Source organism: Homo sapiens, chromosome 9, assembly GCF_000001405.40.
Source record: "Homo sapiens chromosome 9, GRCh38.p14 Primary Assembly".
NCBI classification, from domain to species: Eukaryota; Metazoa; Chordata; class Mammalia; order Primates; family Hominidae; genus Homo; species Homo sapiens.
Genome location: NC_000009.12, coordinates 122,307,575 through 122,322,370, shown reverse-complemented (window position 1 = coordinate 122,322,370; position 14,796 = coordinate 122,307,575). Strand labels below are relative to the sequence as shown.

The 14,796-nt window shown below is 40.9% G+C and overlaps 1 protein-coding gene across 15 annotated transcripts in view; it reads right to left on the bottom strand.

Moving 5' to 3' along the window:
• The window catches only part of MRRF (mitochondrial ribosome recycling factor), a 66,456-nt gene that overhangs the window by 8,967 nt on the left and 42,693 nt on the right, over window positions 1–14,796 (bottom strand). For 10 of the 15 annotated variants that reach the window (NR_144421.2, XM_011519183.3, NM_001346339.2 and 7 more), the window contains one exon: window positions 8,985–9,144. The exons of 2 other annotated variants lie outside the window; for them this stretch is intronic. Coding sequence is in view for 9 of the 13 variants with exons in the window: in XM_011519183.3 (XP_011517485.1) it covers window positions 8,985–9,144 (160 nt within the window). In the remaining 4 variants the exon portion in view is untranslated. Of the gene's footprint in view, window positions 1–8,984; window positions 9,145–14,796 lie in introns of those variants that run through there. 3 more of the 15 variants (XR_007061373.1, XR_007061372.1, XR_007061374.1) reach the window with 1 other exon arrangement.

Here is a 14,796-nt window from a genome sequence, read left to right as displayed (position 1 = left end):
TTTTTTTTGAGACAAAGTCTCGCTCTGTCGCCCAGGCTGGAGTGCAGTGGTGCAATCTCGGCTCACTGCAAGCTCCGCCTCCTGTGTTCACGCCATTCTCCTGCCTCAGCCTCCCGAGTAGCTGGGACTACAGGTGCCCGCCACCGCGCCCGGCTAATTTTTTTTTGTATTTTTAGTAGAGATGGGGTTTCACCGTGCTCACCAGAATGGTCTCAATCTCCTGACCTCGTGATCCTCCTGCCTTGGCCTCCCAAAGTGCTGGGATTACAGGCGTGAGCCACCGCACCAGGCCTATATATACATTCTTTTTAACTCCTAACAGCAAACCCATAAGATAGATACTATTATTATCCCCATTTTGCAGATAGGAAAACTGAGGCATTTAGATCGCTTATTCAGGACACATAGCTAGAAAGTTGGAATGACAAAATTTAATCCACAGCATTCAGATTCCACAGCCCAAAATTCTTAACTATTATTCTACAATATAGAGAAGCTAGTCTTATCTGTTCCTTAATGAGCCTCTAGAATTTCCTACACCTGAAATACTTTGTATATAAAGCCCTCATACAAATTGATAAGAAGAATATTAAGATCCCAATAGTTAAGTGAAAAAAAAAAGCCTTGAAAAAAAATGAGGTACATCTGGTTACCAAACATGGAAAATAGACATCAAAGAAATGCAAATTAAAATAAGATACAATTCAGCTATCATAGCAAAATTTGATGCTGTGGTTTTTAATTACAATATTCAATGCCAGCAAGCTATGATGAAATGGATAAGCTCGTATATCACTGATAGAAATTCAAATTGATGCAAATGTTCATACCATTTAACCCCAAAATCTCTCAACTGGGAAATTATCACATGAACAGGATCTGAAAAAATTTTCTGAAGTTCTATACACGAAGATATTTATCCCAGCTTTATATTTAATAATACAAAAATTAGAAAATCTAAAGTTATAGAATGAGGAAGTAGTTGAATACATATAGTCATTAAAAATGAAATGGTTAAGATTTTCTACTACTTAAGGATAGGGTGTTAATATGAATAACATTCCAGTACATATCATGGAAACACGCTCACATTATCCTTGAATTGAAGAAAAGCAGGACACAAAATTGTGTATATACATAGTAGAAATGATCTCTAAAATATGTAAACAAAAAATTGTGTATTTTTAAAAACTGGAAGGAAACTTGTCAAAATATTAATAGTGGTTATATTTTACTGATGGGAAGACAGGCAATGTATTGTTTATGTCCATCTCTGTCACATCCAGCCTAGGACCTAACACATATCAAGTTCTCAGGAAAAACACACTAAGTGAATAATTATTAAAGTTTTTTGTGCTTTTCTATATTTTCCAAATTTTCTGCCATAAACATGTACTCCAAGAATGAAAAAACACAATACAGTTTAGTAGCTGCCACAGTCTCCTTCCTATGTCGAAAAGAGACTGAAAGCAGGAAGCCTTAGGCAGGAGGCTTTAAGGGCTGCAGCATGGTGCCAAGGATCTGCATGCTCAGCAGCATAGCGGCTGTTGGACATCTTTATTTGCAGACCACAGGCCTTGGCTAGGAATTGAGAACTAAATGCACTAAAAAGGGTAGAAACTAAAAAGGATTTAGTGCAATTGGTCCCAGGCAGGGAGGTGGCCAGGCTCTCACCATAGCAACAGCTGTGCATTTTTTCAGCTAGAAAAGCAAAACACCTGGGGGCTGCCAGACACACTGCAAGAGTGGCTGGACTCAGAATGACAGCTTGGTCCCTCCTCACTCAGCTAGCCACAAAGCCTTGAGATGCTTTTGCCCCCTGTGGCTGCCTTGCATGGGGTGTGGCATGGTGCCCAGCAGTACTCCAACACCTGCAGGCTGGCAGCCTGGGACAGCCAGGAATGATGGCTAAAAGCCTCCTCTGGAAAAATGGCTTTGAGGGTAGTTTGGGGACAGGGATGGGGACTGGGAGGAGGGAGAGTACTTAGGGTAATACTTAGGGTAACAATTTGATAACATGGGTTCTGGGTGAAATTAGTGGGTTAAAAATGTGTAGGTCATTTCCCCACTTTGACTTTCAGTTTCCTCATCTATCAAATTAATATGCATGCACATTTTAAACTGGTTATTTGCTATTTCTTGTTACTATAACTTTTACTATCACTTCCTGACTTCTTTCCAATTAATTAATGAAAAAGGGCAGGTGTGGTGGCTCACACCTGTTATCCTAGCACTTTGGGAGGCTGAGGTGGGAGGATCACTTGAGTCGAGGAGTTTGAGACCAGCCTGGCAACATGGGGAAACCCCATCTCTAAAAAAACACAAAAAGTTAGCCAGGCATGGTGGCACACGCCTGTAGTCCCGGCTACTCAGGAAGCTGAGATGGGAGGATAGCTTGAGCCCAGGAGGTGGAGGATGCAGTGAGCCGACATGGTGCCACTGCACTCCAACCTGGGCAACAGAGACTCTCTCTCAAAAAAAAAAAAAAAAAAAAAATTAATGAAAATATTTACTAACATTTTACCATAGTACAAGCATAAGGTGTTCTTGGGGACAGCCTGCCTGTAAGTTCATCTTTTCCACCTTTATCAGACGTCTTAAAATAATGATTAATAGCAACAAGGCCAACAACAGCTTCCACTTACCGAGTTCTTACCAAATGTCAGACACTTGCCTAAAACTTCACATGCATTATTGCACACAATCCCTATAACATATGAAAGACTATTATCTCTCTTTACCATATAATAAACATTATTTAACTTGACAGTTGCATAGTAGGAATGCAAAAGTGTTTTATCTTCTGTTACTTCATTCAAATCCAACAACCTCACATAGCCTCTATGAAGCAGGTAGAATAGGTATTATCCCCATTTTACAGAGGAGTAAATCAAGGCACAGAATGTTAACTGATCTGTCCAAGATCACATAAAAAGTCAGTGGTTGTAATCCCAGCACTTTGGGAGGCCAAGGCAGGCGGATCACAAGGTCAGGAGATCGAGACCATCCTGGCTAACACGGAGAAACCCCGTCTCTACTAAAAATACAAAAAATTAGCCGGGCATGGTGGCGGGAGCCTGTAGTCCCAGCTACTGGGGAGGCTGGGGCAGGAGAACAGCGTGAACCCAGGAGGCAGAGCTTGCACTGAGCCAAGATTGCGCCACTGCACTCCAGCCTGGGGGACAGAGCCAGGCTCTGTCTCAAAAAAAAAAAAAAAAAAAAAGAAAGAAAGAAAGAAGTTCAGTGGTGTGGCTGAGCCAAGAACTCACCCACCTTAATGGCCAGTTTGAGGCTCTTATTCCCTTTTGGAGGGGTCCCACAGCACCTGGCCTAGTCCCGCCTCATTCCAGACAGGCTGTGTTAGGGACATTAAGTGTCAATCCAAGTTCTACATTTAAAGTCACAACACTGGGGAGAAGAGGATAAAGAAACAGGGCGAACAATTACTGAGGACCAGCAACCATACTAGCCACTTTTAAGTATGTAGCCTCATTTGGTCCTCATATCAATCCTGTGCTCCCACTTTATGGATGAAGAAACAGAGGCTCAGAAAGATGACACCATTTGCTGACATTAACAGCTAAGAAGTAAAAGAGCCAGGATTTTAATCTAGGCCTGTCTCACTCCAAAGCAAGAACCCTTGCCAACATAATACCCTGCCTCATAGAGATGATAACATCGTCACCATCATTATCATCATCACATTTGCTACTTACAAATTCAGGAAAATGAAAGGCAGGGACAGAGAAGGGGAATGGCAGGAGCACAGAGTACACTCCTGGGGCAGGCCCGCCTACCAGCCATCCTTCCTGAGGCCTAGCTCAAAACACCCGCTGCCTTGCCTGGACCAGCCTCCCTGCCTTCCACCAGTCTGCCAGGAGCCTTTCCCTCCTTTAGCTCTGCTAGCACCCAGCTTTGCTCATTTCAGAGCAGCACTGTTTCTCAGGGAAAGGCAGCAGTGAAAGGATCTTGGCCAGATTTACTGGTGGCTTCTGCCAAGTGCTTTAATGTTCAGCAGGCTCATTTATAGCAAACCAAAGCAAAGGTGAAACAGCAGGCTGGCAGATGTCAGAGTCCTGAGCGGGAAGACCTCGGTCCTTCTTCAGCAGAGCTTGCCTGGAATGCGGGTTGGGAAGTAGTGGGGTGGGGGGAACAGGTGAGGAAATCTGGGGGTCAAACATGACTATAGGGATAGAACCTACAAATGAATCATTTCATTCTTATTTATTTTTTTTGAGATGGAGTCTCGCTCTGTCACCCAGGCTGGAATGTAGTGGCGCGATTTCGGCTCACTGCAGCTCTGCCTCCCGGGTTCAAGCGATTCTCCTGCCTCAGCCTCCCGAGTAGCTGGGACTACAGATGCCCACCACCATGCCCGGCTAATTTTTTATGTTTTTAGTAAAGACAGGGTTTCACCGTGTTAGCCAGGACGGTCTCGATCTCCTGACTTTGTGAACTACCTGCCTGGACCTCCCAAAGTGCTGGGATTATAAGCGTGAGCCACTGCGCCCAGCCTATCATTTCATTCTTATACACCAAAAATTGAAGAAGCATTTTTATAATAAAGCTTTAAAAAATCTGACCTCAAAAGATTTTTGAAAATTAAAAAAGATAATCTCACTCAAAATAAAATCCAAATTGTTTATAATCCCATCATCTGAAATGACCACCTTTAATATTTTGACATGTATAAGCTGCCAACCCCATGTGCATGTGACTTTTCTTTATAAAACTAAAATCAAACTGCTGTATAATCTACCTTTTAAAAGCAAATTCCAAAAAAATTTACCATGTCTATAAAATATTTTTATAACTTTCTATGTAGATTCTAATGAATGTAAAACAATTTACTTCCCACAGTCAGAAATTTATAGACAGTTTCCAGTTTTCTACTATTATATATATCAATGAACATTCCTATAAATAAGGCTCTTGATTATTTATTTTGGGCAAATTCCTAAGTCACTAAATCAGAAATGTATGGATTTTAGTATATATTATCCTTTAGAAAGGTCGTATGGATTTATACAAAGAATAACAATCTTTTCTGTAGAGTGTGAAAGTAAAAGCAACAGTTCCCAGATAAGCAACATTTTCAGCTCAGATAAAAAATTCTAGGTTCAAGTGTTAGGGGTTATAAAAGGCAAATTAAATACATATATATTCTAAAAACACAGTAGTATGTACCAAGAATCTTACAAAAAATATGCAATCCCTCTGTACAGTAATTCCACACTTGGGACGTTCCAGTCTATTCTAAGGAAATCATCTCAACAAAGATTTATATATATATATATATATATTCACTGCAACCTTATAACAAAGAAGTTTCAACAAACTAAAATGTCCAAAAAGAGGGCTTATGAAAGTGAACAGCACACCACCAACTATTTAGCAGCCATCAGAAAGAGTTTTACAAAGAGTTTTTCAAGACATGAAAAATGCTAATACCTTTGAGGTCAAACAGAAAATAAAAAGCTGAATACAAAATTGTATATATACTATATGTTCTCAATCATGTTTAAAACTATGTAGTTTTTTTTTTTTTTAGAAAAAAGGAAAAAAGAAATATTCCAAAATGTTAAGAGCGGTTGCCTCTCCAATGTGGGAGGGGAGGATGAACTTTCTCCAATGAACATATATTACTTTGATAATAAGGAACAAAAGTAAACAAAATTTTAAAACTGTCTGATGAAGCGACAATCAGCCATAACCTTGTTTTATATCTTTAAAACATGCACGCACACGTACACACACACACACACCAAAAATTCCAGTCTGGGGCCTTCTGACAGTAGAAAGAACACCATGAAGTATATATAAGGCTCTCTACTGTTCCAAACTTTTAACTCTATGACAGTAAATTAAGTTATTAACAATCCTGGTTAAGAATAAACATTTAGCTGGGCACTCATGCCTGTAATCCCAGCACTTTGGGGGGCTGAGGTGGGCGGATCATCTGAGGTCAGGAGTTCAAGACCAGCCTGGCAAACATGGTGAAACCTCATCTCTACTAAAAATAAAAAAATTAGCAGGGCATGGTGGCACGTGCCTGTAATCCCAGCTACTCGGGAGTCTGAGGCAGGAGAATCGCTTGAACCCAGGAGGTAGAGGTTGCAGTGAGCCAAGATTGCACCACTGCACTCCAGCCTGGGTGACAAAAATAAAAAATAAATAAAAATAAACATTTAAATAATAATATGTTTAGAAAGATATCTGTGATATATCGTATCATATAAATTGTATGATACTTTTTCTTGTTTCGAGAGATAACTTGAAGTTCTACACTAAAATGTTAACAACAGTCATCTGAGTGATGAGATTTCAATTACTTTCTTCCTTGTTTTAACAGCAAAACGAATACAGCTATTTTCACTTAAAAAAATCACAGTAAGAAGCACTAAAGAAAAAAAATTTAATCTGAAGAGGATGGCGAAAAGCCAGTGCTAATGAGTGAAGGCTTCCAGCAAGGTCTTTGTCAAGAGGGTTTTATCAAGAATGCTTGCTATCTGATCATTCTTCCTCTTTCAGGAGTTGTGGGCTCTGGTCCCTGAGGCAGATGTCCTGGCTTGCTGAGTGACTAGTGCCTGGCAGGCCCTGAAGGTCCATAGGCTTACCACCAAGAAGCAATGACAAGGGAAAGCAGTGAAGAAATCCCCTAGGAGAAAGACAAGGAGCCGGCCCAGCTGGAGCCAGGGCCCAGACTATTAATGAGGCCTGGTCAGTGCACAGGAAAGGCCCGCCTAATCTCTGAACCTCTTCTTTTAGCTGATACAGGGAAGGAGGAGGGCAGAGAGATGGCAAGAGGGGAGTTTTGAGGGTTTGGGTGTTAGGTACACTAATGGTGCTTTCTAGCATACCAAGGAAACCATTCAAGGCAGAAATTACCAATCCCTTTTTACAGAAAACAGACTCCAAAGAGTCAAGCAACTTCCCCAAGGTCATAGGACATCAAGTGCAGAACAATCTTTTTCTAACTCTAGTGTCATTACACAGGTACATTACCAGGCTTCTAGGTCATTATCTTCTATGTGTGCTTTTACACAATTACCTGAGAGCTTTTTAAAACTATACATTCCAGCTGGACGCATCTGTTATCCCAGCTACAGGAGGACTGCTTGAGCCCAGGAGCCCAAGACCAGCCTGGGCAACATAGTGAGACCCCATCTCAAGAAAAATGAATTAATAAAAGTAAGTAAAATAAAAATATACATTCCTAGGCAGAGCTACTGTATCAGAAAATGCAGGAGTAGGGCCCAGGAAGCCACCTAAAATTCCCCCCCCCAGGTGACTGTTGTGGCTGTCCTACTAGTAAAATGCTAGTAAAACTAGCATTTTAACTGCTGGTGGAGGAGAAGGGGAGCAGCTAGTCAACTTATGGACTTCTCCAGGGGTCCCTTGCTTCTCGCTTCTCTCTTCACTCCCTATCCAGCCCACATGCCTGTTCAATCTCCCTAAAACAATGCTTTATTGTGGATGAGGAGGCTTTAAGGCCTATCAAACCCTTTATATTACATTGAACATTACTAATTCTATCTCCACATCTTTCCACAGGTGCCACTCAGGTTCAGGCCACCATCACTTCCTGGCTGGATTTCTGCAGCAGCATCCCTATCGCCCTGCCTCCAGTCTTGCCCCCTACAATCTGTTTTCTACCTGGCCACCATAGTCATCTTTCATAAACATAGATGTGCTCTCTCCATCATCTAAAAAAAATCTTTTAAGTGTGTCACTGTATGAGAATCACCTGAGAAGGATTTAAAATACAGATTCCTGGCTCTGTCCCAGATTCATTGACTCAATCTCTGGAAATGGGGCCCCAGATACCTGGATTTTTATAAGCTACCCAAGTGATTAAGGTACTTTGGTAGAGAGATGCTGTTCAGCAAATATTCACTTCTTTCCCCAGACCTCCATAAATATATATATTTCCTTGTACCAAACATATTGAGCTTGGCCCATGTGACTTGCTTTGGCCAATCAAATGTGACAAGAGCAGGTGTTTAAAATGTACTTGAGTGGTTGGGCTTATGATCTTGGCATCTGCTGTTACCATGAAAAGAGGCCCTAGGAAACCTGTTGGCTTTGGAAGATTGAGAGATATAAAGCAGATTTGAACCCAATCCAAGATCTGGAGCCAAGCCCACTGAGCCCAGCCTAGAATAGCTACACCCCAGCTGGCCCATGGAAATGAGAACAAGAAATAATGCTTTGATATTGTCGATCACTGAGTTTTGGGGTAGTTATGTACCATTATTGTGGCCATACATGACTAATATAGATGCACAGCCAATGTGGGACAGTCTGTACATGTTAACGTTCAAACTCCTAAACCTGGTGTACGAGACCTTCCTTCTATTATCTAGCCACTCTGTTTTCTTTATTCATTCCCTAGTCTTATCCTACGTTCAAACCCCAATGATCTTAACTGAATATTGTTTTTATATCACCTTACCTTTGTACATATGGTTACACTTTTCCCCCTTGTCTCTCACTATTTTACTCCAGCAGCTTAAGACTTATTCAAGTGCCACTACTCAGCACACTGAGAACACTAAGTGCTCAATTCTCAGCAACCGGAAAACCAGACAGGAGAGCATTAGCGTAGAGGCTCTGAAATCCGTCTGCCTAAGTATGGATCCGATTTCTACCAATTTCCAGCAGTGTGATTTCGGGCAAGTTATTTAACTTGCCTGAATCTCAGTTTCCTTACTACCTACCTCATAGTTTTGTAGTGATGAGGGTAAATGAAGTAATATAAAGTGTTCAGCACAAAACCTGGTACACAATACAAGTGTCTTATCCTCCTCTATGGATCCCTCTGAATCTGGCATTAGGCTAGGCCCAGAACAGAGACTCAGACAATGGTGATAATGTGAATGAAAGATCAGAGGTATTCTGTTTTAACTGTCCTCACCTCAAACATGAACAAATGATTCCTTATGCTGAATACACAGACACTACTACATTGCTGGCAATAGTACCTGTTTCTCTATTAGCCTAATGGTGTCCTCTGAGACTGTATCCTTGGATTTCTTCAGCTTGTTCATTGAGTTGGTGCGAACCTTCCGTAAAGAGTCTTTGGCCTTGTTGGTGTTCTGTTTGGCCAGTTTCACCAGCATTTCTCTGTGCTCTCTGGTTACTCTGATAAAAGACAAAAGACATTCAACAAAATCATTCTATACATTAACTGCTGGCCAAGAATTTAACATCACTCTGTCAACCAGTTCAGCAGTTTGTAACTTTCCTCTCTGTGGGCTGAACTCCTGGAATTTCCAGGAGGAGGAAAACGCATGTATAAAGGCTTTAAGTTGCCCAAACATGGGCAAACTGGGTTTGACTTTGTAGAAGGTACCAAACTTCCCAGTGAGAGAACTGGGATTCAAATCCCAATATTTCTGGCCTGTATTCTTTCTGCTACTCTTCTAATCTATTTCAAGTAAATCATGCACTGCTGCCATTACTTCTGCTTCCAGGCAGAAAGCTCTTCACAGTCAGTAATATGAAGCTTGGGACTGAAAAGGACAAAACCATCAAGAGCCCATGCTTCATTTAAGGAATTGGCTGGAGCACTGATAACAAAGAAAGGAGTGACAAGAAAAGAGGCTGGGAAGCCATATCACAGACAGTCTTGCAAGGTCACGAACCACGTTTTACAGATGAAGAAAATGAGGCCCAAAGAAATTTGGTACCTTATACAAAGTCAGACCCAGTCAAACCCAAGCTGGCCTGTCACAAAAGCCAATGGTCTTAGTATGACAGCATTCCTCTGCCCCCTGGGTCCTGAAATGGACATGCTTATGCTTCCTTACTCTCAAATCAACACGGTTCTTGCTCAAGGAAGGACAATCCTAAGTTCTGGGTACATGTTCAGTGTGGAATAGTGATGAGCAGCTGTTAAAGATTTAGTAACATCTACCTTACATTTTCTCTGCTGAGAAAAAAAATTAAAGAATTTTGAGAAAGAATAAGCTCTGAAGTGAACAGTTGTATTTACGTAAATCCTTTTGGATTCAGCTATTTGAAGGTATTCTCAAAACAACAATGAGTCTAATTACTACTATTATTAAACCGTTCTATGCCACATGAGTACTTTAAGTGTGTTACTTCATTGAATCCTCACAACTCTTCAAATGAGGAAACAGGCTCACAGATGTTAAGTGACTTGCCCATGAGCATGAGTGAGAGAACTGGGATTCAAACCCCGATCTTTCTGGCCTGTATTCTTTTTACTCTTGTAATCTATTTCAAGTAAATTATGCACTGCTGCCATTACTTCTGCTTCCAGGCAGAAAGCTCTTCAAAGTCAGTAATATGAAGCTTGGGACTAAAAAGCACAAAACCACCATGTCAGGAGTTTAGGGATTTGGATCAGATCTTGTTACTTTTATGGTTTTTAATTCATTGAACAAAAATCATGCTGACATGTTTAGGTCTCTTTTTTGTTCTGCCAAAGCATATGTCAGTATAAGGAAGGAACAGGAAAATTAAAACTTGATCCACTGATTCAAGAACTTAATCCTGCTGAAATACTAAGAGGGGCAGAAAATAAATGAATCTAAGTCTTTAAGAAACCTCATAAACTTCTCCAAAAAGAACATACTGAAGTATTTCAATATTGCATTTCACATAATTTCAAATAGGTATCTCACTGTTTAGAAAATGCTTAATCAAAGAAAAAAAATTATCTGATCAACTTTTCTTTTCACTACAATGTTATATTTTAAATGGAGGAAAAAACATACATTAAAAAATATAAAATGAGACTCAAAAAAATCTTAAGAATTAAAGGCTACAGAAAGAAAACAAAATCATAATATAGGTAATTTGGCCTTAATAAAATGTATTACTTTGTATTTATTAATGCAAATGTGACATTACCACACTATTAACACCAGTTTCCACATGTAATCGTGTCCAATCACTGACATTGTCAAAAATATTTCCATTTCAGGATGCAAAGAGGCAATAATCAAAAAGATACTACAAGGAAATGGAGAGTGGAGTGCAGTGAGAAGGGAGAAAGGGAGGGAGGAAGACAAACCATGCTGGACACAGGGAGGGCTGAGGGGGAGAAGGGCATGTGTGTGCTGGTTCAGGGTACTGAGCTGAAAGGTATCTAAAATACAAGATCAGAAGCAGTTAGGGTGATGGCAAGGCACTGGTTTTGAAGTCAGACAGACTAGGTTCATACCTGTATCTATTGCTCAGAAGCTGACTATCCTTGGGCAAGTTACTTAATCTCTGTGAGCCTCAGTTTCCTTATCTCTAAAATGAAGATTTAAAAAGACACCTTACAGGAGGATTAGGAGAAGCAGACACAACAGATAAAGTACCAATAAAGAGAGCAGCATATATAGTAGCCTTGAATAAATGATAGTGTTTATGAATGTTTTAATCAAACATGTTTAATTACTTCCTCATGAAACAATGAGGGCATATCTGTTTTAGAAAATAAACATATTTTATTATGGAAATATTTTCATTCTTTTCCAAATGTGATTAATACATCTGATCATCTCCACCTTGCATTCCTGGGTTTCTGTGAGTATGCACTAGAGTTTGTATTCCAGGCTTCTGAACTCAGCTGGTTAGTTCTGAGTACCCACTTTAAGTTGATGTGCATTCACCCATCAAGCACTGACTGAGCCTCCTACGCTCTGTGCCAGTTCTTGGGCCAGACCAAGGAGCTCCAGAAGAGGCAGACCTGGCCCACCTTTTCCAGAGGCTCAGACTAGTGGTGGAGACAAACTTGTCAGCCACTACGTAGAAAGAGGATGACTGTTGCTAGTATCTACTGCGGAAGGAGCATACAGAAAACACAACACTTCTATCTTGAGATTTGGAAACCGCCTTATGGATGCACAGTAACTTGTTAGCTGCAGAAGAATGCAAAGTGCATTTTGGGAAGCACAGTGGGAGATGTAGTGGAGGGACAGCATGAAGCTGAAAAGGGTACATCCCAGTCAAATATACTCTACAGGCCTGGAGTTTTCAAATTCTTCTTTAGCCACAAACCCCTGGCTCCAAAGAAAACTGAGGCAGAGGCCCCATTTGCAAAACAGATAAAAAGAGACTACTTCAGTTGATGAGGAGGAGCGGTGGGCTCTATCCCAGGCTACAAAACTCAGATCCGACCCCACTTCTGGGCCTGCCACTTACAAGCTGAGTGACCCTATGCAAGTTATTTAAACCGTCTGAGCCTTGCTCTTCTCATTTGGAAACAGAAATTAAAAACAAACAAATGAAACAGAACCTCCCTTTCAGAGTTATTGTGAGATTTAGATGAGGTAATACATGGGAAGCATCCAGTACAAGGCCTGATAGAGAATAAACACTCAGGAAATGTAAACTGTCTCTGCTGCTGTTGTTGGTTACATTTTTGGAAGCCCTGAAGCATCTTCAAATAATGAAAGTTTTTAATCAACAGAGGAATGACAGAGCAAAGATCTATGCTATGGCAAGATGACTTTTTGAGATCTCACTGGTAATTTAACATCTCACAGACATTTTAAAATCCAAACGCTCTCAGCATGTAGCCCTGAAATTTTCTCTTTTCAGGATTCATTCATTCAATCTATAGCTTCATTCAACAACTACTTACTAGGCACCTACATTATAGACATTATGACAGAAAAAAGGGAGATAGCATTAAATACACAGGAGTTTACCATTTGGCAAGGAAGGCAGTCATTACACAAACACATGCAAATTAATGAATAAATTACAGTGGTAATATGCACCATAAAGACATATAGAGGTTCTACAAAAATAATTAAGTGGGGAAAGGAGTCTGACCAACCTTTCTTTGTGGGACCCCAGGAACTAAATGTGGAGATACTGAGGCTAAGTGATATTTAAGTTGCCTAAGAGTTGGGGGGATAGTGGAAGATCATTCTCACCACAGGGAATAGCATATATAAGAATATAGCTCTTATAGGATGAAAAAAAGGTGATAGTATAGAAAGAAGAAGGCAAAGACTATCCCAAAAGAGAAGGGTGGAGAGGCTGGCAAGAGCAAGGCTTTGTAAGCCCTTCAATGTCTTAGTAGGTCTTAGTAGATCCACTGACAGCTCAATAAACAAAATATGGTATATGCATATAATATTATTGAGCCTTAAAAAGAAATGAGAATGTGATATGTGCTATCACATGGATGAACCTTAGCATAAAAAACAGTTAGCATAAAAAACATTATGCTAAGTGAAATATGCCAGACTCACAGAGACACATATTGTATGATTCCACTTACATGAAGTTCTTAAGAGCTGCCAAATTCATAGAGACGGAAAGTAGAATAGTAGTTACCAGGGGCTGGGGGAAGAGGTAAGTGGGGAGTTGTTTAATAGGTACAGAGCTTTGCAGGATGAAGAGCATTCTAGAGATTGCTTATACAGCAATGTGAATATACTTAATGTCACTGAACTGTACACTTAAAAAATGACTAAAATACAAGCCTGGACAAGTCAGTGAGACCCCATCCCTACAACACACAATAAAATTAGCCAGGTGTCATGGTATGCGCCTGTAGTCTCGGCTACTTGGGAGGCTGAGGCGAAAGGATCACTTGAGCCCAGGAGTCTGAGGCTGCAATGAGCCATGATTATGCCACTGTACTTTAGCCTGGATGAGACAGCATGACCCCATCTTTTTTTTTTTTTTTTTTTTTTTGGAGATGGAGTCTTGCTCTGTCACCCAGGCTGGAGTGCAGTGGTGTGATCTCGGCTCACTGCCACCTCCGCCTCCTGGGTTCAAGCGATTCTCCTGCCTCAGCCTCCTGAGTAGCTGGGATTACAGTCACAAGCCACCATGCCTGGATAATTTTTGTATTTTTAGTAGAGACGGGGTTTCGCCATGTTGGCCAGGCTGGTCACGAACTCCTGATCTTAAGTGATCTGCCTGCCTCGGCCTCCCAGAGTGCTGGGATTACAGGCGTCAGCCACCGCATCCGGCCTGACCCCATCTTAAAAAAAAAAAAAAAAAAAGACTAAAACAGTACATTTTAAAAATGCATATTTTACATTAAAATAAGAAGAAACTTGATCAGATTTGTAGTTTGTGTAGACAGCAATATACAAACCAGATCTAAATACATGGCAAGAGTCTGACCAGGAGCCTTTAGGCAGGTAGACAGGGAGCTCAGGACCCACCCTGTTGCAGTTTCTTGGCTGGGTGAGGAAGCCTTTTCCGCTAGGGTCAGAGAGCCTCTAGCACAAGGCAGGGGTTTTGGCTGAGCTGGCAGGGTCATACTTTGTTTGTACAAGCTCCACCAGGCAGATCTTCCAGTAACATCCTGGATGGGGGCCTTCCTGAAAAATTCCTTGAGCATGTTCCTATGAACAATAAGCAGAGGGCATGCCCCACTGCTAACTCACACAACAGAGAATCCCACTGACTGAAATGATACTTCCTATTGTTTCAATGAGAATGCAACACATGTACAAAGCTATACACCAGGTGCATATCAGAGGAAGCCAGGCTCAGCTCAGGTAATGACAGCAAAAAAGTTGTTAATGCAACAGACACTCAACTTCAGAAGGCTCTTTGGACACTTGAAGGGGGCTTTAAAATGTAGAAAGGACACGGTTTAGGGCCAAAAAGACCTAAGCTGAAATCCCAGCTCTGCCACTTGTTAGCTTCAGAATTTTGAGTATGCTATTCAGCCTCTCCAAACTCAGTTTTCTCCTACATAAAATGGGAGTAAGAATATTACAAAGAGGGTGGAAGGGAGGATTAAATGAAATAATGGGGGATAAGTACTTGGCGTGCTGTCAATATGTATGCATTGTAAGAGCT